General features: G+C 37.5%; 1 annotated feature.

The window, feature by feature from the left end:
* Positions 23,020-24,219: an enhancer, noted in NCBI's record as "MED14-independent group 3 enhancer chr18:41065893-41067092 (GRCh37/hg19 assembly coordinates)". NCBI's record gives its function as "activates an origin of replication core promoter dependent on BRD2, BRD4, P300/CBP and CDK7 cofactors, and independent of MED14, by STARR-seq in HCT116 cells {active_cell/tissue: HCT116}" and the evidence as "EXISTENCE:reporter gene assay evidence [ECO:0000049][PMID:35650434]".

Below are 24,505 nucleotides of genomic sequence, written 5' to 3' on the forward strand. Positions count from 1 at the left end.
ATCCTCCCAGATTTGTAAGGTGTTTAACAATTTAAAATATGAGCCACAGTGTTCATCATGAAATTATTTTCCTGCAGTGGATGCAGCTCCAGCAGTGTAACAGAAAGGATGCATTTAGGGAGAATGTTAATAAAATGGATCAAATTGCTATGGGTTTCCTGAACCATGTTTGAGTAAGCATAAAAGAGATAAATTTTAACATTGTATTTATTTAAAATATAATAATATTAAAAAGTTTATGCTTATTGACATCACCTGGTAAGCAAACCATGTAACATATTAATAAAAAGTTTAGATTAGAAGTTTGGTACAGGTGCAAGTTGCCAAGCAATAGAACTCTTCCTGTTTCTCCTTTTCTTGTCACAGAATTTTTCTGTTTGTAAAATAACATGATCCTCGTGTCACTTTAAAGACTTTGAAGCATCACCACAGGAAAAAATAGTATTCTTTGTTCTCTGAGCAACTCATAGAGACACAGAGAACTCCAAAGAATGGCTGGTCCCATTTGGTTTTGCGCTGAGGCAGAAAATAAACCTAAGTGTTCACTCCAGGATTTATCTTTTCTTTTCTTTGAGTATTACATGGACCTTTATCATTCTTACAGATCCATAAAGATCTCTGATGTAATGAGCAGCACAGGCATTTCTAGGAGGAGTACAGAAAGTAAATGACAGAATATCATAGATATTCAAGCTTAGGAAATGGAAGAACAGAAAAAAAGTTTTGAAAGGCAATAAAGATCTTTGCCCTTAACAGTCCATCTTGTGTCACTTTACACGTAATCTGTAGCTTAATAATTCCAAGTATGCTGAGTGCTTCTTACAGCTCAGGCACATCCATATGAAATAACATACAAAAATTAATGTATCTATAGACCTATAAAATGAACAAAGGGTTTCTGATGTCACACTTTTTTTAAGAATTTATCAATCTGGTATTTTATTTATGTTGTTGCGACAATGAACAGCTAACATCACTTACTGCTAATGATGAGTTCATCTAAATATCCAAAACCAAACCAATGAACCTCTACCTCAAGCCTGCAACTCTTTTTCCATTTGCTTATTATGTCAATGACTTCTACCATTTTTTAGTTATCTAGGCTTAACAAAAAAACCATAAAGTTATTAGTAAATCCTTTCAGTCTTAAATTTTCTATATCAGATTAAATGTAAGCTTTCTTCTGAATAACTATAATAGGATTCAAAATTTACTCACACTGATAATCTGATGTGTTAAGAAAATGTAGCCAATTGGTCCAGTATTGTTTACTAAGATATTATCTGTTTTTTCAGAATTGCTCTGAGGTGCCTACATTGTCAAAAATAAGGTAGTCCATACATACACTGGACTGCATTTGAGCTATCCAATTTTATCTGTCAGTTGGTCCATCTTTGCAACATGATCTTATTTTAATATATCTTTACAATGGGTCTTATATCTAGTGTTGTGTGTCCTCCAGATTTTCTCTTCAAAGTTGCCAAGAATTCACAATTCCAAAATAATTTTAGAACTCACTAGTTATATTTTGGGGAAAAAACTTAGATTTTAATTGGGTATATAGATTAATTTGGGGAAAACTGATATTTTAATATTAAGTATTTCAATATTAATTATAATACATCCCTAGTTTTAAATTTTACCCCCAAAATATTACAAAGAAATCACTGTAGAGGTCTTTTTACCTTCATTAGGTATTTAGACATAAAAAATTTTTGATAAAAGAGAGTTTATACTGTGACAAAATAAAGAAAAATTTGGGGAAGGTATTAGTCCATTTGTGCATTGCTATAAAGAAGTACCTGAGATTTGGTAATTTACAAAGAAAAGAAGTTTGATTGGCTTCATGGTTCCACAGACTGTGCAGGAAGCATAGCTGAGGATGCCTTGGGAAACTCACAATTATGGTGGAAGGTGAAGGGAAAACACATCTCATGTGCTGAAGCAGGAGGAAGAGAGTGAAGAAGATGTCACAGACTTTTAAAGAATCAGATCTTAGGAGAACTCATTATCATGAGAACAGCAAGGAAGAAATCTGCCCCCATGATACAATTACCTTCCACCAGGCCTCTCCTCCAACATTGGAAATTACAATTTGACATGTAATTTGGGCAGAAACACAAATAAAAACTGTATCATTCTGCTCCTGTCCCCTCTCAAATCTTATGTCCTTTTCATATTACAAAATGCAACCATCCCTTGTCAACAGTGTCTCAAGTCTTAACACATTTTCTCATTAACTCAGAACTCCACAGTCCAAAGTCTCATCTGAGACAAGGCAAGTCCCTTCTGCTTATGAGCCTGTAAAATCAAAAACAAGTTAGCTACTTCCAAGACACAATGGGGGTACAGGCATTGTGTAAATACACCTATTCCAACATGAAGAAATCAGCCAAAACTAAAGGGCTACAGGCCCCATGCAAGTCTGAAACCAGCAGGGCAGTAATTAAATCTTAAAGTTTCAAAATAATCTCTTTTGACTCCATGTCTCATATCCAGGCCACACTGATGCAATGAGTGGGCTCTCAATGCCTTGGGCATCTCTGCCCCTATGGCTCTGCATGGTACAGCCCCCTAAGCTGCTTTCATCAGCTGGCATTGAGTGCCTGTGGCTTTTCCATGTATACAGTGAAAGCTGTAAGTGGCTCTAACATTCTGGGGTCTGAAGATTGATGGCCTTCTCACAGCTCCACTAGGCAGTGCCCCAGTGGGGACCCTGTGTGGGGACTTCAACCCCATATTTCCTCTCTTCACTGCCCTAACAGAGATTCTCCATGAGGGCTCCACCCTTGCAGCAGACTTCTGCCTGGACATCCAGGTATTTTCATACATCCTGTGAAATACAGGCACAGGTTTCCAAGCCTCAACTTTTGCCCTCTGTGCACCCACATGCTTAACACCATGTGGGAGCTGCCAAGGCTTATGGCTTGCACCCTCTGGGGCAGTGGCCTGAAATGTATCAGGGGCCCTTTTAGTTACACCTGGAGTTGGAGCAGCTATGATGTGGGGAGCAGTGTCCTGAGGTTGCTCAGTGCAGCAGGGCCCTGGGCCTGCCCAGGAAACCACTTTTCCCTACTAGGCCTCTGGGCCTGTGATGGGAGGGGAGGCTACAAAGTTCTCTGAAATGCCTTTGAGGCATTTTCCCTATTGTTTTGGCTATTAACATTCAGCTCCTCTTTACTTAAGCACATTTCTGCAGCTGGCTTGAATTCCTTTCCAGAAAATGAGTTTTTCTTTTATATCACATGATCAGGATGCAAATTTCCTAAATTTTTATGCTGTGCTTCCCTTTTAAATAAAAGTTGGAACTTCAGATCATCTCTTTGCTCATGCATATGACATTACACAGTTAGAAGCAGCCAGGTCACAGCTTGGACACTTTGCTTCTTAGAAATATCTTCCACATGACACCTTAAATCATCTCTTTCAAGTTCAAAGTTCCACAGATCTCTAGGAAAGGGGCACAATGCCTCTAACCTCTTTGCTAATGCATAACATAGGTGAGTTTTGCTCCAGTTCTCAGTAAGTTTTTTATCTCTTTTGAGATCACATCACACTGGATTGTCCACATCACTATCAGCATTTTGTTGATAACAATTTAACAAGTCTCTAGTAAGTTCCAAACTTTCCCTCATCTTCCTGTCTTCTTCTGAGCCTTCCAAAGTGTTCCAACCTCTGCCTGTTACCCAGTTACAAAGTCACTTCACCATTTACAGGTGTCTTTATAGCAATGCCTCACTTTCTGGTACCAATTTTCTCTATTATTCAGTTTTTGAATTGCTATAAATAACTACCTGATAGTGGGTAATTTATTTAAAAAAGAGGTTTAATTGGGTCATGGTTCTGCAGGCTTTATAGGAAGCATGGCTGAGGAGGCCATGCTTATAATCATGGCAGAAGACAGGGGAAGTCAGCATGTCTTACATGCTGGAGGAGGAGGAAGACAGTGAAGGGGAAGGTGCCACACACTTAAACAAACAGGTTTCATGAGAACTCACTCACTATCATGAGGAGAGCAAGGGGGAAATACAACCTCATGATCCAATGACCTCCCACCAGGCCCCTCCTCCAACACTGGGAATTACAATTCAACATGGGATTTGGGCAGGGAAACAAATTCAAACCATGTCAGAGAATGACCAAATTGAGATAGAAAGAAAAGCAACCAAAAGCAAATATATAAGTTCAAAAAATTCAGAGGTAAAATAAACTTTTTTTGTGTGACTAGCTATGAAGAATGAAATAGTCAAAGGAATTCATAAGGGCTCAGAAATTTGGGGGTGAGTTAAACTTGGTAGATTAAAAAATGTGTTTGATTCAGCTGTAGAATGTCATCCAGATGATAATTTCCAATTAGGGGTTGTGAACACAAGTCTGACTATATAAAGTGGTCACTTAACATGTAAATTCTATGAGATTAGTGAGTTTGTCTTGTTCACCATGATACCCCCAGTTTTCAGTGCTTGGCATATAACAGTTCTCAATAAGAATTTGAGGAATGAAAGAAAGACAAATGTATTTTTAAAAGAAGGCAGGAAGGAAAGGGAGATAGGACTGGATATGGAGAGAAGAAATAAAGAGAGAGAGAGAGAGAGACAAAGAGAGAAAGAGAGAGGTAGATGTGGGAATAGAAAGGGAAATGAAAAGAGAAAAGAATTCTTAGTATATCTCAGAAAAGAGGCAGGCCCTTTTCCAGTAACATAAGTTATTTTCTCTTAAATAGTTTCATCCTCACTACTCTGATCACGTTTTTCATCTCATTTTCATCTGGAATGTTTAATATGAACATAGTGTAAAAGGGAAATTTAGATGTCTTTATTATTGTGAAAATCCTAATAAAAAGGAAATGTGATCATTCAATGAATATTTATTATTTCAGGTTAGTAAGTATAATGATAATAATTTTTACATTGCAATAAAGCAAGGAATTAGAATGGGTTATTGCTTTTATAGCCCAACATTTATTTCACTTGATTCAGAGGCTTTCACATTATTGCATTTAAGAAACAATTACTGTAGTATCAGGTTGTCATTTTGTTAAGGTAAAGTGATCTTAAAACTATGACAGTTAAATGCAAATTTTAAAGTAGAAAAATCTCAAATTTAAATGAGACTAAGTTCTAAAAGTTGTAAGAGTATCATTAGTTTCTCTAAAATAAAAAATAATTTTGAGGCATCTTTTCTATACTAGGAACTAGAAATAGAATATAAGGGGATTTTTAGATCAGCCTCTCACCTACAAGCAAAACAAACCCTATTTTATTGCAGAAAGGTAAAACCCTATTCTATTCTTCTATATTTTCCTTTATTCTTGCCTACACCAGGCTCTAAGTATCCGATGGACCTTTTGCATGAATAATGAACTGAGTCCAAATATCTTTTACACACAACAATTTCCCAGGCCAGTGACAGAATAAAGAAGCCAGTAGGGAACAAGAGAGAGAATGGAGGCCTGGATAAATCAGGAGTCATTTTAATGGCAGTCAACTATAGTTGTGGCTAGAAGTGATTATTAGGGAAAGTTTTACTATTACTACATCATATTCTAAGCAACATGGATGGTTTGGTAATGTGACCATAATAAGAAAGATGAAGAAAGGTTATCTATAACATTTTAACATGGTAGTCAACTTTTCAGAAGGGTAGAACCAAAATAATGGATAAAATTGCAAAAATAGAAAGTATTTAGCTTTAATTCAATCCCAGTATATTGCAAAAGAAAATCCAAGAGGGAAGAAGCAAATTAATGTTAAACAAAAAAACATGCTGTGTTACCAGTACATTCTCTATTAAAGTTGTTACATGGGTTATCTGATTTTTCTTTTACTCCTAAAAATGTGACATTATCTCTGTATTGGTTTCTTGGGCCTGATATGATGAATTACCACAAGTTTCCTAGGGCTGCTGGAATAAATTACTGCTAACTTGATGGCTTAAAACAATAGAAATTTCTTGTCTTATAGTTCTGGAGGCCAGAGTCCTGAAATCAAGGTATAAGCAGGACCGTGCTCTCTCCAAAGTCTCTAAGAAAGAATTCTTCCTCATGTCTTTCAGCTTCTGATGGCTCCAGGTGTACTTTGGGTGAGGGCTTCATGACTTTAATCTACTCTGTCTTCACATGGTTTTATCCTCTGCATCTCTCTTCCTTTTTCTTTTTCTCTTCTCTTGTAAGAACTTGTCATCAAATTTAGGGCCCATCCTATTCCAAGGTGATCTTATCTAGAAATGCTTTAATTAATTCCTTCTGCAAAGTCCTCTTTTTTCAAACAAGATTATAATTTTAGATTTTAGAATTTAGGACATATACATAAGATTTTTGAGGGTCATTATTCAATCTCTTGCAATCTCTATTTTTACCAGTGAGAAAAACGTAACCATAGAAGGTAAATGTCTTCTCAAGAACACGTTGGAATTTCCCAGGGGGAATTTAAACTTTGGTCTGTCTGAGACCAAATACTTTATCATTCTACATGACCCAGATTGCAAATTTCAATTGTGATTATACTGGCATATCTATTCTATGAAGAAAATCAAAACTGTACTTTTCAGAATACTTTAGTGAGCAGAAATATTAAAATACTACTTAAAATATGAATAATAAACAAAACGAACAGTATATCACAGGTAATCTAAGATCACGTCAAGCAAATAATGCCAAGAAAAACACAGAAGACCTTGGAGCCATTAGCAGAATAAAAAGGGTAAGAATTTTGGAAGAAAATGAAGACTTGTTAATAGATTACTTAAAACCTTGAATCTGATTTAACCTTTGGATTTTCTGTCAGGGAAAAGAATCTTTGAACTGAAAGTGGGAGAAAAAAAATAGACAGAGGACATTGAGGCCTAGGATAGATGAAGGGTTTGAAGGAGAAAAATCAGCTTTTTCACGTCTCCTCACACAGGTGAATTCAACTAAATATTTAATGTAACTTCTGGTTGGTAAAATTACTAATCTATGTTGGTCAAGTTAAAAAATAATGAGCAGTTAGAGTTCAGCTGGAAGAAGAAAGTTGTGTACATCATGACAACTTTTAAAAAGGAAGAGATCCACAAATTATGTATATACTCTTTAACTTTCTATCAACCTCTGGGGATATTAGAGAAACAATGATTAAAGGATTGCTATTAAGACCTAGAGCCAAATGTAATCATTATTACTCACGATGAAGTCAATAAAGGCCATTCATTCTATACTAGGATTATTTTTTCAATTGGTATGCAGAAAGAATCTTCAAAATATATTTAGGCTTGAGAAGCTTTAATGTCCCCCTATAACACTGCAGTTCTTAGTCAGATATTAACAACTAGTTGAATCATTTTAACCAGACAACTGCTTAACACATCACTGTTTTCCATACATCCACTTGTCTGCACCAGTTTTTGCTGACCCTATCTCCCATTCCTTACACAATTTTTTAGCCTTCCCTGTCTCCCAGATTTTAGTATCTACCTGCCAATTCATTTGCCATATTGCTGTCAAGGCAATATCCTAATCTATGGAATTGTTCACCCGAGTCCTTTGTAACCTGATTTTATTCTTATTTTATTTCTTTTCATCAATATTTCCTTATATTTTTATTTTAGTTATTTATTTTACTAAATGAGCCCTGAAACTTATTGATTCTATGACTTTGCTCATTTTTCCTTCTGATAACAACCTAGTCATGCTTTAAGGGTCTAGTACAAATGTTATGATTTCTTAAAGCTTTATTTTTCTGGTTGTCATAACCATCTCAAGTCTATGAATAAATTATACCAACATCTGTTCTTTCACTCAAATTGTATAAATGCATCTATTAAGAAGCGATGACTTTTTTGGTTTATTTTTCATTTTATCTTTCCAACTAGACTCTGAACAATTTTACAATAAACCTATTTTAACAATATCCTTAGTATCCAGACACTGGCACTTAGCAGATGCCAACTAAACATATATTTTACAACAAACATAAATGTTCCTTGTTCACTGGAAGAAAGTTAATCATCTAATTGTTTTGAAAGCATGAATCATTTCTGTGAATAATAGCATTTCTTCACCCAGTATGTGTTTAGTCCTTGGCTAGATATCCACCTGGTAGAAATATTATAAAAGAAATTTTAGTATGATATAGTGGCTAAATTACCCCATGTGTTCAAGTTTTCAAGTCTGAGGTCCTATTTTCACTAAATTCTTTCAAAGATTAAATACTGTCACTTCCTTTCTAACAAATTTACCCATATTTATAGTGTATCATTGTTAATTTTTAATTTGGTTAATATACATATAACTAAAAAATAATATTATATGAGTATTCATAGCCTTCTACATTTTTCTGAGTGTAAAACAGAATTCCATTTGCCTTTCACTTTAGCCTCTAACTCAACTGCGAAGAAAACTATTGTTGCCTATTCCAGTGGAAGGTGTCTTCTTTTTAATTAAAATTTTTATTGTGACAATTGTGGATTCACATACAGTTGTAAGAAGTAATATAGAGAGAACACTTGTACAATTTGCCCAGTTTTTCTCGATAACATTTTGCAAAACTATAATATAATATTAAAACTAGAATATCTACATTGATACAATATACAAATCTTACACAGATTTCTCTGGTTTTACTTGCCAGTCTTTTGATGCAGAATCTGAGCAAAAGATAAAAAAGGAAACAAGGGGAGGGCCTGTCATTGAGGATTTGCATCAGAAAGGGATTAATTTGAGATTTCACATGAGTGAGAAAAATTAAGGGAAAAGCAAGTGGAAGAGTAGATGTCCATGGATGGAGTTATAAGGAAAGACCCTCTTAGTTTGAAGTAACCTTTTACATGGAGATAGAAAATGAGGGAGAATTTTAGGACTGTATGTGCCATCTTGTGAAGAACAGTGAGAATAATTGTAATGAACAGTGAGGATTCAAAGATGTTTATACTTCCCAATTTTGTGTTTCAAAGTCTGGGTCAAAAAAATGAAATTGATATTATTTTTATTTTTCTGTGAGATTGATGTTTCTTCCAATTGTCACTGATGGAGCCAGGGCCAGAGAAAGCCCTGTGGAAACAAACCAAGACCACACAAATGAGAACAATAAGAGGCTATTTAATCAGAGCTTGCTGTGGCAAGGGAATCAAGCATCATCATCTGCGCTTGACAGAGACTCAGGCACGCAGGGGAGTGGGAAAGCTTTCTAGGTATTCCTTGAATGGGAAGGCTTCCGGTATTCCTTGAGTGGAGGTTGCTGGCATGTCATGTAAAGCATTTTATTAAATAAACGTTATTACTTCAACAAGCCATGCTCTCACTTTTCAAAAGTTTAATTTAAAAAATAAACAGTTGCCATTCATATTTCCATGATCTCTTCGACTGAAATCAGAAACATTAGTTCTTTTAGATTGTCTCTATGTTTTACTACACCAAATGAAGTGAAAACTGAGGTTTTTCCTTGGGCAATTCTCCCAATGTTCCCTCAAATATAAAAAAATACAGATATTTGTATACATATTCTCTGTATTAGCTTCTTAATTCATAAATTATCCATTGTTTCTAGCCCTTAGTTTATAAAAGTTTCCTGGTAAAAATAATGTTTTGTAATTCCAAAAGGTTTATTCTACAAATATTCTCCTTAATATATGAGATTTTGAAAATTCATGATAAGGAACTTGGTAGTAATCTTTTTGAGATTGCCTCAGGTAAAAGCATAATAATTGAATAATAACTTACCTGCTTCTTGTAAATGGAAGAAAAATATATGCAATCATTTTAATACATTCCACGTGCCTGATAAGACTCTATGGCTATGTTAGTTTCTAAGCATTCTAATTATCGGCAAGGGAAAAAAAGCTAAGAGAAGCAAGAACATTAATTTTTTTAATTCTCTTCAGAAATACAAATTCAGTGTGTGATAATGACAGCTAGTCATGCTCTTCTCACGTTTATATTAATGACCATCTGTGTAAATGCCTGAGGCATTGCCTTCAGGTTTTCATGGTTCTGAAAGCCAGCCTAAGAAGTGGCTTCCTTAGCTCTATAAAGATTAGAGATGCTATTTAAGATAATGCCACAGGTACATAGCCAATAGCTTCCTCCAATCTGGGAGCATTTCAAATGAATCTTTCTCTTAGGACTCATCAATAAAACATTGGATTCAGCTCATCTTAGAACAATCTTTTAAAGGAGGTACGTTTAGTATAGAGCAAATATTATAATACGAAAACCAGCAGAACTACATTTTGCAAGGAAAAATGAATGACACAGAAAAAGAAGGTTACATTTGATAAATATAGGAAGTTATATTTTCAATATGGGTGTTGCATTTTTTTAAAAGAAGTATTAAAATATTCAGATAAGAACACATTTTTTAAAGTCAAACTTTTGAAGCAAATGGCTTCCTTTAAAGCAAATAGACCCTACCACTTAAAACTATAGATCACAAAGTAGATGTTAATTGAATCTAGATGGATTCAGAAAAAAATATAAATATCAATTTATTGAATAAATAAATGACTAGATTAGGGTTGAGAGTGAGTTATGTATCCATATGTATAATACATATATGTATTATACATATAGAATAATATGTATTATTCTAAAATGTTGAGGCTTTCAGTGAATAAATTCACACATCTATGTGTACACACACACACACACACACTTAGAACTCCTGTTACAGAGAAAGTGATTAACACTCTCTTCCTTCTTATGAGAAATGTTAAGTAACTTAGTTTCATAACAGGAACTTGTATTCTCACTAATATGGGACAAACCTAGGTAGGCAAAGTTCTAAATGTAAGTTTATAGTCAGAGTATTTGGAAGTATGCATTTGGTAGTCAGAAAGCAAGCAAACAATAATAACAACAAAAACAAACTTAAGGCCAAGAGAATAATTTGAGAAGAAATTATATCATCATGGGACAGATAATAAAATTCCAAATGGGAAATAATATAAATGGAGTGAATCTAGGGTGCTATTAAAATGGATTTAGGCAAGGGGACAATAAAAACCCAAATATTGGCTAATTTACATATAAAATGGCTCTATTATTAAAACCCAAATATTGGCTTATTTACATATAAGACTGCTCTATTATTAATTGGATTTTTGCAATTCAGGCAGCTAGTAATTTGTGTTGGACCAATGGAGCAGTGCTTTTCACAAGACTGCATACCCAGGTGGTTTTGGTCTTCTCAATTGTAAATATGAATTTTGGAATCCGTAGCTTCAATGAGATGCAAAACTAATACTTTATTAAGTCAATGTAATTACCCTGGAACCAGTTCTTATGTGAGAGATTTAAAGAGAGAGAAAAAGAATGGAGACAGAACTACTCCATGCAGTAATCACTCTAACTACATGAAATTCATCATTACTCCATTAGAAAATAATATTTATCATCTCCTATATGCCAAGTACTTTTGTGGGCACTATGATTATAGCAGTGAAAAACTAAGTTAGCAACATATGAAGTTCATATGTTAGTTTATAGATATAGAAAAAGCTGCAGAGATAATTCTGGGCAATGGAAACAGCAATAAAGCACAAATAAGTATGTTACAGTGAAAGAGAACTGGGTGAAAGCTTCCATTTCTGACTAAAGGGCAGATTTGGTGTGCCAACCAATGTCTCAGTTGTGTTGGAAAAAACATAAAAATATTTTAAAGGAAATTTTAAAATGTTTCAACGTATTATATAAAAAAGAAGGGAACTTCACAAGCCAAAATTAAGGGCAGGAGAGATTCAGAAAGGCAGGAAAAACACAGGTCTGTCTTCTGTCTTGAGGATATTTGTTGAACCCAGTGAACATGACTTTTGGTTTTTCATTGCCTCACAGGACACATGGGAGAGGAGAAAAGTCAGGTTTGCCCAAGATGGAGAGGCTAAGAGGTTTCTGCATATAAAGCTAAGGCCCTGAAAGCCTATACTCTTAGTAAGTGCAACAGAAATAATCCTGCCATTCTTTAGGAGAGTGCAGGGAATTTTCCGTGGTGAACTTGTTGCTGCATAGAGAGGGGACAAATTCCTATTTATAACTTGAGAAGCTTTCACCACAATCAGGCTCTTCTGTGATTGTTGCTAAAACTGTGTTACCTGAATGGTCTTGGGGGGGAAATAAGAAACTAAACCAATAACTTGTCTTAAACCAGTCCCTGAGACGTAGATCCCCCAAAATTGGCAGAAGCAAATGTAAACCCTCTCATAAAGAACTCACCTTGAGTTTAGTCTTAAGGACTTTTTATACTTCCAATTCTAAGATTTACGGCTGCAGAGACTCACAAAATACCCAAGAAAATGATGCTTATGAGCTACTAACACCAGCTAAAGAAACCACACACACACACACACACACACACACACACACACGTGCACAGAGAATCAGATCTGCAAATACCTCAGATATCAACATTACAGATTCAGAAAAAAATCATTATTTTTAATATACTTTTAAAAAGAAGTATCTAAATAAAGAGTTTCTGCACAGCAAATGAAACTATCATCAGTGAAAAGAGACAACCTACAGAATGGGAGAAAAGTTTTGCAATCTATCCATCTGACAAAGGTCTATTATCAAGAATCTACAAGCAACGTAAGCAAATTTACAAGAAAACAAACCCATTAAAAAGTGGGCAAAGGATATGAACAGATTCCTCTCAAAAACAGACATACATGCAGTCAACAAACATGAAAAAAACCTCAACATCACCAAACATTAGAGAAATGCAAATAAAAAACACAATGAGATACCATCTCACACCAGTCAGAATGGTGATTATTTAAAGGTGAAGAAACAACAGATGCTGGAGAGGTTGTGGAGAAATAGGAACACTTTTACACTGTTGGTGGGAACGTGAATTAGTTCAACCATTGTGGAAGACAGTGTGGTGATTCCTCAAATATTTAGAAGTGGAAATACCATTTGACCCAGCAATCCCATTACTGGTTATACACCCAAAGGAATATAAGTAATTCTATTATAAAGATACATGCATTCATATGTTCATTGTAGCACTATTCAAAATAGCAAAGACATGGAATCAACCCAAATGCCAATCAATGATAGACTGGATAAAGACAATGTGGTACATATACACCATGGAATACTATGTAGCCATTAAACGGAATGAGATCATGTCCTTTGCAGGAACGTGGATAAAGCTGGAAGCCATTATCCTCAGCAAATTAATGCAGGAACAGAAAACCAAACATCACATGTTCTCACTTATAAGTGGGAGCTGAACAAAACACATGGACACAGGTAGGGGAACAACACTTACTGGGGCCTGTCAGGGGAGGGCATGGAGTGGGGAGAGGATTAGGGAAAAAAGCTAATGCATGCTAGCCTTAATACCTAGGCGATAGGTTGTTAGGTGCAGCAAACCACCATGGCACACATTTACCTATGTAACAAAACTGCACGTCTGCACAAGTACCCCAGAACTTCAAATTTTTTTAAAAGAAAAGGGATTGGAAATATAATTAAGAGACTATACAAAATGACCAAGAAATATTTTTGTAATTAATAAGAACTTAGAAAAATAATACAAAACATATAATGATAGAAATTTAAAACATAGTTGAATGGCTTAATAATGTATTAGGCCTATTTAATAAGGGAATTCATTAGTTGGAATATAAAATTAAAGAAATCATCTCAAGTGTAACACAGAGTATGAGATAAATTAAATGAAAAATATGAATAAGAGGCATGGAAGATATAAGAAGAATATATAATATATGCCCAGAAGGAAGAGAATGGTATAAAAGGAACAGTAAAATATCTAATAACTGTGAAGCTTTAATAAAAACAATTAATAGATTTACAAAGTCCGAATAATTTTAAGCAGGAAAAAAAATAAAGAGAAAATTATAAAAGTCGGTAATATATTCAGGTAAGTACCAAGAAATCTCAATGGATTCATAGCATATACACATTATGTAGTTTCATCAATATGGAATTAAGTTAGATGTAAATAACAGGGAGCTAATCATCTAAATGCCACAAATTTTGGAATTAAGCAATGATCTTCCATTGCTTAATTCAAGGGAATTGCTTGAATTCCATTGCTTCTCTTCAAGGGAATGTCTAGCTTATTGACAAAATGTGCTAAGTCAACGTAAAGAGACTGCTTACGGATTCTATAAAGAGGTATTTCTTATACCTCAAAAAAGTGTTACCTGAAGCCTCAGAAATAGTGCAGCATGCATTATTTTATTTAATCTTTATAAACATGAAAGAGTATAAAAGAACATTCCTTCAGCTATTTGAATAGTGAATGATTTTGGCAGAAAGATGGTAATGCTAGACCCTCAATTCTCTGCTTTCACAACGTTCTTTCATTTGCTCTTGGGAGTTACACTTTCTTTTGTTTTTCTTTCTCTTTTACTTTATTTCTTAGCCAGACTTACCAGAACAGCAGCTGCAGCATGATATAATTATTTTAATGGTTTGCATGCTATAAAGCTGTTAAAAGCAATTTTAATTTTTATCAGTAAATAGGTTTTATTACAAAGTTATATTGTTGCTCATAGCTATCCAAAGTAATAGGTACTTAGGAGAGTATTTTAGTCTGAACTGTTATGTCTCCTTTATCCACTATATGCCTAGTCAAGCATTACAATTTTGCCCACAGGATAACAAAAAAAATGCTAATAGGAGCAATTAAAAGATATGAATAATACTGACACCTCTTTATTATCTTCCAGGTACCATTGGAACTGCCCGAGACATTAAATGGTAATGATGTGGTTACAGTTATTTGCCAATTGAAGTGATTCCTGAAGAAGCACAGAGACATTTATTTCCAAGCTTTGAAGGGTTTTGTACTTTTTAATTAGATTTTGAAAACAGAGCAGCCATCTACAGAATTATATATATGGTAACTGATGATGCCAGACTCCTCCAAAAAATTAAGCACACATGGGCTAAATTTTTATACCGGACAATGGAAATTAAACTCACAGTTCCTGTATTGTTTAATAATGTCAACTTATTTTGGTTTCATTTTTCTTGTTTTTTTTTCTTTTCTTTTCTCACCTTTCCTTTCTTCTCTTGTTTATTCTCTCTGTCTCTTTTTTTATTTCTGTGATTTTCTGTGCCTCTCTGCTGTTTTTGCTGCCTTTTTCTTTCTGTAGTTACAGGTACATCCCATTTACTAAATGATGAATATCTCCATATTCATCAATTGATTTCATCATATTCATCAATATCACCATATTCATCAATTGGTGTTGTCTTAAAGTATCTGACCTCATCAACTGTTCATATGTGTTTCAGTGATTAAATGTGGCTTTCCTTAACTGGTATCTTTCTCATGTTTCATCATTAATCTTAATGCCTAAAGTGTAAGCATGACAGTCTTTAACCCTTTGCTTCTTTCTAATTTTTCTCCTATTTTTATTTTATTCCCTTCTTCTACCTTACTCATGTTTTCCAAACTCCAATTCATTTGGAACCTTCCTCATAAATCCCTAATGTGAGATACTCTGTTTGCTTCTACTTAACCTTCCTCCTTATCCATTGTCAAACACACACACACACACACACACACAATTTATAAATCTGTAAAATGAGAGGAGAGTTTATTTCTTATAAAAGGTTATAGCCTGCAAGGTGGCCATTCTGCAGGCTGGGAACTATGCCTCCAGAAAAGACCAGGGACAGGCACTTTGGAAGAGGAGGGGTTGGGGTAGGAGCTTTATGCTAAACAGGTTGGCTAAACACAGATATTCACCAGCCTACAGGAGGAGCTATGAATATTCCTGAAGGCACTCCTGACACATGCATATTGAACAAACATGCCTGTAACATATGACCCATGTTCACTTTGGGACATGTAGGGTAAACACACCTGATAGAAATAATTTAAGTATACCCTTAAATGACCCTCTATAGTAGATGCACCTGAATGTGGTCCACGCTAAAGAATCCAGGAGTAGCCAATCTGAAGATTCCTTCCTTATCAAAGAGGAAAATTTGACCCCCCACCTCAAACCACTCAGCCTATCCCATGGAACAGATGCTGTATAGGGGATTAAGGTCCTGAGTTTTAGGTTTAATGAAGGTTGCCAGATGGAGGTCATTAGAAGGAGGGTGTTAAATGAAAATGCTATATGATGTTTGCAGGAAGCTGCAGGGAGTTGCAGTTTTCTTGCCTAGGCCACCAGTACCGGGCTCTGCGATTATGTTGTCCAGCTCACAGGCATTGGACTTTCTTCCCTGTATGTAAGCCCCTAATAAAGCCCCATGTCTCATTTGCTGGCTCTGGGTCTCTTCTTTGGCCTCTTGAATGTGGTGCCTTCCATACTGAGGTTAATAGGAGTTTGACACAATAGGATGGAGACTTAACATGTAAATGTATTACAGTTAGGCTCTATATGTCAAAAGGTCTTTTCAGAACCCAAAGGCCTGCAAGTGCACAATCTCTGTATACTGGCCAGGAGCAGTCCATGGTCACTGGTCTTATAAAAAGAAAGTTACCAAAATCAGTCTTGGCCAATCAAAGCTCTAGTTGTGGCTGGTAAAACAGGGGCTCAGTCAATGTCTGTGAGCTGGATGAACTGTAATTATCTTAACATTGCTTATCTCAAGACCAGTGCTTGTTTAGCTGCTAGAGTGAACGAAAAACCTTGTGGCAGATAGAACAGAGTTGATTCTTTAAGTGTTGGGGGCCAAAGTCGGGGGGACGGGTGCAGTGCATTACTTAACCTTTCCCTGGCATTTAGCTCCTGTTTGTAATTTGGTATCTTATTGCCACAAAGAGGGTTCTGTCAGTCTCTATTTTAAGATTAATGCTGGTGGTTGTCTGTAAACCATAAAGGGGAGGGGGTATAACAAAGTCTGACTTCCTCTAGTGTCACGGCCAGGAACTCAGTTTTAAGATTTTTCTAGGATCGCCTTGGCCACAAGAGGGTCTATTCAGTTGGGGTAAAGGGTCCTCAGGATTTTAAGTTTATATCATTCATCTTATTCTGAACTTTTGTGTTTCATGTTGGAGTTTTCCAGTAAAAACAAATGGATGGGCCAGAATTATTTTTAATTTTCTTTCCCAATTTCACTTAAAAACAAACTGAATTCACTATATTAATGCTGCAGAATCCTATGTTGTGTTCTGTCCCTGGCTACTTTTATCTTTTTGCCATTTCCATCTCTAGGTAGAAATTTTTCTCTTCTTCAAGTGAGAGCTCAAGAATGATCCCTCATCCAACCTGCTCCCTTCCAGCTTGAAGTCATATATCTACTAATTTCAGTTCTCCTTCTTTGCAGAGTCTGTATTTATCTTTTATGATTCTGCCTAGGGACCTAAGACTTAAACATTTTTTCTCAAATAAAAGAAAAAAGTACATTATTTCATCTAGACACTAGCCTCCTTGAGGGCAGTGTTTACAGGTGAGAGTTCTTGTATTTCCCACACATATTCTGGTCTCCAACAAATACAGGGTTATATAAGTGGTTTATGGCTAATTAAAAGTTATCTTTTCTGCCCACATTCATATTGATCAGTAATGAAAATAAATCCCAAGTAAAAGTTTGACAATTCGAGAGTTATATTCAGTTAGCCTGAATTTGAGACCCAGCTGTCTCACTTACTAGTTTATCTCTCAGGACCTCAGCTAATTCACCTGTAAATGATGTTTTGCCTTAGTTTACCTGTTTTTAAATTCTATATTATAATGTATCATTCTGTAACCAAGATATTTCAGTTGACTTCTATTTATTTATATTAAAATTCATAATAGTTAGCAAACAAATTTATACTACATATCCTTTATGGACCAAGCTTGTTCCAGGGATTGGTAATATTACAGTTAACAAGACAGAAAAACTACCTGACTTCCAGCAAACAATGTTTTGAATGAGGAAAAAAGCAATAAACACTTCAAAAAAAACATTTTTTTAAAGAAGGAATTAATAAATAGACAATTAAACACTTCTTTTTAAAAATATCTAATTTAGATATGATAAATATTAGGAAGAAAATAAAATAGGGCGATGGGACTCAGAATGGTAAAGCTACTTGATAAAAATCAAAAGGACAGCTGAGCTGACTTAATGATGAGAAGATGGAGTCATCTGAGCTGAGGTCTAGGTAGTGAGAAGTAGGGAGCCACATGAGAATTGAAGCAAAGGATGACAAATAGAAGACACAGCAAGTGCAAGAGAGGAAAAACTGTCTATCCCTGCCAGTGTGGCAGTAAAATAGGGCAAGTATTTGGCGTTTACTCTAGGTGGTGTGAGAAGCTGGTAGAAAATTTTAAACATGGAGAAGGGTTGTGCTTACATTGAAAGAAAAAAAAAAACATTTCACTCTGGTCACTATTTGGAGTGCACCTGAATGTTTGTTCCAAGCTAGAGAATCCAGGAGTGGCCAACTTGGAGATTCCTTCCTTGTATAAAGAACAGCTGAGTCCCCATTCCAACCCACCCAGCCTGTCCCATGCAATACAGGCTGTAGAGGCGATTGAGGCCTTGACTTTTGAGTAAAATAAAGCTTTCCAGATGGAGGTCATTAGGGGGATAGAGTTAAGTGAGAATCCTATATCAACTGTATGATGTTTGCAGATGGTCGCAATTTTCCTGCCCAGAGTGTAGGGTGTGTAGGCACTTTAAGATGATGTGAAGCAAGAGGGAAACCAAGGAGAATATGTTGTTTTTATATTTTGCTGCATACTGAGAGAGTTAAGAATAGATTAGCATTAATTACTAATGGACATTCAAGACATAGTTAAGATTTACTAAATAGATATATATACACACATACATGTATATACATATTTTTAAATTTTACTTTAAGTTCTGGGATACATATGCAGAATGTGCAGGTTATATAGGTAAACGTGTGCTGTGGTGGTTTGCTGCACCTATCAACCTGTCACCTAAGCCCTGCATGCATCAGCCATTTGCCCTGATGCTCACCCCTAGCCTCCCTCAACCCCAACTGGCCACATTGTGTGTTGTTCCCCTCCCTGTGTTCATGTGTTCTCATTGCTCAGATTTACTAAATATTTTGAACGTAGAACAGTCTGGACTTACTGTAAGGAACATGGCTGCCCAAGCATAGGCCTAGCCAGGCAGGCATAGGCCGAGGTAAACATCCTGCACGACTCAGCGGAATTGGAACACAGGTGCACAATTCCATGCGTATAATTACAGCTATGTAGCCATAACATGGGGAGGCTTATCATCTGACTCTGAGGCACTATTTTCTGTGAGGTATATAAATGTAGCACTGACACTGTGAGAGAGCTGCTCAATAAAGCCATATCCCATCTACCTGCTGTCTCTCGACTGTTCTACCAGCTCCCTGTCCGTCCACCCACTCCCCATCGGACCTCAGCTGGGGCTCAAACCTGACATTTAGCGTTGTCAGCAGGATAGAGTGAGTGGGTCTTCAGCTCCCGAGGCTCCCGGGCAGGCTATGTGGCCGCAGCATGATGGGCTGTGGTACCCAGTGGCAGCGGTGCTGCTGGGATGGGCCCCAGTGGAAACGTGGGAGGCAGTGGGCGGGTCTCCTGTGAGTGTGGAGAAAGCACTAAAGCGCTGGAAGAACACAGTGCTGAGAAGAAATGCAATGCACCTTCGCCGGCAGAGTTGGATGGGCATTTCTGACTGCACTGCGGGAAGTACATGCTCAGTCCCTGTGGGATGCTGCACAGGTAAGTGACCTCTACATGCAAGCCACATGCCCGTGGGCCCAAATACACAGGTTGGAGCAAAACTTGGAGGTAACGGACCTCCAGACACAAACAGGGCACTTAGAGGCCCAGATAAACATCCTGGAACAGGAGTTAGAGGCTGCCGTCAGTGTGACCTTGAGCCCATCCTCGCTGCTGGAAACTCCCGTTCATGAGCAGCCGATGCGCCCTCAGGGGCGGGCTTAGGGGCCCCCTACTGTGGTGGAACGCACTTCGTATGGTGCCTATACCCTCGCTGAGCTCCGGGAGTCAGGCAAACATTGTTGGCAGCATCCAGCGGAGCCCCTCCTTCTCTGATTACTCAGATTTTGGGGTGAAGCAAGGTTATGGTGTAACAAGCGGCCTTATGAAGGCCGAACCCCAGTGGACTTTGTGCCCCCTGGGAGTTTATGGGTCTGTAGGGAAACAGGATGGCCATATCTGCCAGAAAATTGAACTGGGCATTGTACTTGGGGATCCCCTTATGTGCCTGCCACTGTGCTTCCCACATTGCCTAGATGCCCACACACCTGGAAGGTGCTACATTCCTGGTTTTTGTGAGTGTGGCAGGTCCCCTGGTGGCTCTACCTCGTAGCAATAACGATCCCTGGAGCAGGTGTCATCACTGTAGAAATGCAGGTTACAGCCTTTGCAGAGCCACAGCTCGGGCCCTGAATTACACCAAGTTGCCCTCCTTCTGTTAAGTAATAAGCTGAATCTCTACCTAGAATAGAGAAACATAATAGGAGAAATAGGACAACTGAGTTATCATAAAGCACAAGTAGTAAATGCAGACAAACCTAAAAGACCCCACATCATAGCATTTAGTCCATATGCAAAGGGTAAGTGGAGATTTTGGGTCAACTAAGCATCATCTATTAATTTTGTTAAATATGTTTTGAGTTTTGTTGGAAATTTTTCTTTGCATTTGATTTGTAAATGTGGTTTTGGCTGTTATAGGAAGCATAGATAAAGGGATACTGTAACTCATTTTTTGCATATCATGTTTTATGATGAAAAAGTAAGTTAACTATGGATCCATCAGATTGTTTTCCCTTTAAAAGGGTTTAATGCCTAAATGAATTTTGGAAAACACTGATTTTGGAGCAGGATAGAATATGAATCTGTTTTCATGCTACCGTTAAACAGAACTGTTATCACTAACTTGTCAATAAGAACTCTGAGGCTCCGAGTAGAACGTTAAAGGAATGTGGCAATTAGGGATAACAGTTGTCTCATTAGATAATTGTCAGGTTTTTAGAATCATGTATGTAATGTTCTCTTAGATTTTTATTCCTCATCCAGAGTCTCTCTTGAGCTCAGTAGCCACCATTTATTCTGCACCCTCATGACTATATCTATTTGGGTATCTCAAATGCAGTTTCAAATCAGTATATCTAAAACTTGTTATCTCCTTCAACCAGACCTTCTCTAGTATTTCCTAACTTGTGAACAACATCATCAGACACTAAATGGTAAAGTTGTTCTTAACTAAAACTTCACAATTGACCTTTCATTCTCCCTCTTGCTTCATGTGTAAGGCATCCTCAGGTCTTTGCATTTCACTTCCTTAAAAGCTTTTGAATCGGCATTTCTGTATATTCCATTTGTGACTACCTTAGTTCAGGTCTCAAACCACCTTTTCTGAACTAGTTTCTGATAGTAAACTTCTGGTCTTGATTTTACCCGATTCGTTCTCCATGATAAAGGCAGATTGGCTTGCTGAAAAAAAATCAATCACACCTGCTTATAAACTTTGGAAGCCAATGCCTTTAGAATACATTAATAGCTTAATTTCTTAATATGGCTTATATTTTTCCCCATCTTATAGTCTCTGCATATATCTACAAGTTTATCAGAGTACTTTCTTGGCAATTTTTCCTGACATCTTTAACTATTTGTCCTAATTGCAATTTTTCAAATGTGCTATTTTTGTCTTTTGCACATAATACTCTTTTGATTTCTGGAATACTGATGATTGCTACCTGCCCTCCCTGATTTTTACCTGTTTCATTTCTTTTCCTAACCTGCAAAGACCAGATTAAGTGCCTCTAACATTTGACCCCCACTTTTGAATGGTGTACTAATTACCTCATTATATCCTAATTAATTGCTTACTGTTTTTTTTCCATCTAACTGTGAGCTACTCGTAAGAGGTTCTTATTTATAATTGTACTCCCAGTGCCTTCCTTTTACAGTAGTTTTAAAAATTTTTGGTTGAATGCTTGTTAAAAAATTAAGTGCTAACTGAATGTAAACAAAACAGGTGTGCTTCAGTCAAGAATAGGTCAAGGTAAACATTCCATCCAGCATGACTCAGCAAGTTTGGAGCAGAGGCGCACAACTCTGTTCACTATGTAACCTGTTTGTGTAAGCTCATACTTGACTCTGAGCTACTATTGTCTGTAAGGAGTATAACTGCCCTGCCACCTTGGAGGTGGATAGAGGGAGAGAGAAAGAGTGACCACCAACTCCCCTTGGACCTCAGCATGGGATAGAACCTGACACTTGGTGTAGTTGGCAGGATACTGAGGTGACTGAGTTTTCAGCCTCTGCTGATTCCGGGTCAGCCATGTGGCTGCAACATGGGTTGTGGTACCCAGTGGTAGTGGTGCTGCTCGAATGAGCTCCGGTGGAAACCTGGGTTGGTGGTAGATAGGTCCCCTGAAAGCATGGAGAAGATACTAAAGCAACTGGAAGCACAGAGCACTAAGAAGGAGCAAGCTTTTGCCAGCAGAGTTAGATGGGCATTTGTGACTGTGCTGTGCAAAGTGCATGCTCAGTCCCTACAGGATTCCACCTTGAGCTATGGGAATTGAATAAACAGTGCCATCAGCGTCCAGAGGAACCTCTGCCAACCTGGATTCTTCATCTATGGGACGAGGGAGCAGATAGTATCTGCAGTTTCACCTCTGGAATAGACAGGTGACTTCCATCAGGACTCATCCCTCCCTCCATCAGCAGTTGCATGTGAGCAGGCACTTTGCAGTGGGGCGAGGCAACCATACTTTAATTAAATTGCTAATGGTGGCCATACGGACAGTGTGGACTGATGCCGGTGAAATACCAGAAACTGTCAGTAGAAGGCAGTCGTATACAGACTTGGTGCAAGTCATTCAGGAGAAGGATAATGCTTTGCAACCCAGTCCTGCCCAGGTGCTCCAGCTCAAAGACTAAGTGGTGGCAGCTAGGCGAGGGTGCAGAGCCTTTTCTGTTTGATTTGTACAGCAGGTGCTGGCACTAGTAGATACTGGTGCAGATTGCAGCCTTGTTTATGGGAACCCAGATAAGTTTCCTGGCAAGACTGTGTATATATATAAATGGCTGTGAAAGCCGGTCAATGAAAGTGAAACCTGTATCTTTGCAACCTGGCATTGGCCACTTGGCTCCCTGCTTATACACTGTGTATGTTTCTCTCATACCTGAATACATTCTGGGTGTGAATGTTTTACATGGCTTGGCAGCTGTCCCATCTATCACAGATTTGATAGACCGCTTGACAAAGGAATTGGGACAATACAACTATGTGGTGGACTTGGCTAATGCATTATTTTCCAGAGAGCCAGGAAGAGTTCGCCTTCATGGGAGAGTGACAGTGGAGTTTCACAATGTTGCCATAGGACTATATGCATAACCCCACCATATGTCATGGTCTCATTGTTGATATTATGTTAACCTCTGATTCTCTTGCTAATTTAGAAGCAGCAATGCCCCTCTTGCCTGGGATCGAGATAGTGCAACTGAGACTGACTTCCTGGCAGCCAAGCAGGCTATTCAGCAAGCACAGGCCCTGAAGTGATTAGCCAGGGGTACCCATTTAAATTTAATGTGTGTGTAACCACAGATAGTTTTGTTTGGGGCCTGTGACAGCACACAGAGCACTTGAGAACACCAGTAGGCTTTTGGTTCCAACTTTAAAAGGGAGCTAAGCTCCAGTATTCATTAATAGGGAAGCAGCTAGTAGCTGCATATGCTGCCCTTTAGGCTCATGATAGCATGATAGGATGGGTACAGTCATCATGTGGATAACTTACCCAATAGCAGAATGAGTGCGTTCATGGGTAATGACTCCCCAGACTGGGACGGCACAAGGTAGGCATCCAGTTCAGCATGACTCAGCGAGTTTGGAGTGCAGGCGCACAGCTCTGCTCATTATGTAACCTGTTGGTGTAAGCTCATTCTTGGCTCTAAGCTACTGTTGTCTGTAGGGAGTATAACTGCCCTGCCACCTTGCAGGCAGATGCTGGGAGAGAGAGAGTAAAGTCACTGATGCTGTGAATAGTGCTGTTGCTGCTGCTACTGCACACATAATAGAGCCATCCACCTTGCAGGTGGACAGGGAGAGTGAGCCAAGAAATGGCAAGTGCACCAGGGAGTGCAGCTGCAGGCACAGGGGTGGCAGGAGCTACAGAGCACAGAGCTGGCTGCTGAGAAGGGCCGCAGCTGGAGCAGGTACTCAAGACAAAGGCTGACAAAGAGAAAGAGCATAATAATACCATATTCACCTGCCTATGGCCACTCGAGTGTTCTTTCAGCTACCCATCATTCATCCACCAACTCCTGTTGAACCTCAGCTTGGGCTAGAACCCGACACTTAGCATGACACTGAATATTTCATTTTTATAAGACTTTTAATCTGTAAAATTATATGCAATATTTGATATTTTATTCTATTATTTCTTCATTTGTATTTTACTTACTTGTGGAAAAATGTTACTTTTCATGTTTTTGAATATTCCATGGTCTCTGAGGTAGTTCGAAATGCATAGTAGGTACAAAAATACTTACTATTTAACTTAGTAATCAAATTATTTAAAATGCCAGTGAGGCTATGGTTTATACATCAAAATGATTACCTGAAGCT

This window comes from Homo sapiens, chromosome 18 (assembly GCF_000001405.40).
Source record: "Homo sapiens chromosome 18, GRCh38.p14 Primary Assembly".
NCBI classification, from domain to species: domain Eukaryota; kingdom Metazoa; phylum Chordata; class Mammalia; order Primates; family Hominidae; genus Homo; species Homo sapiens.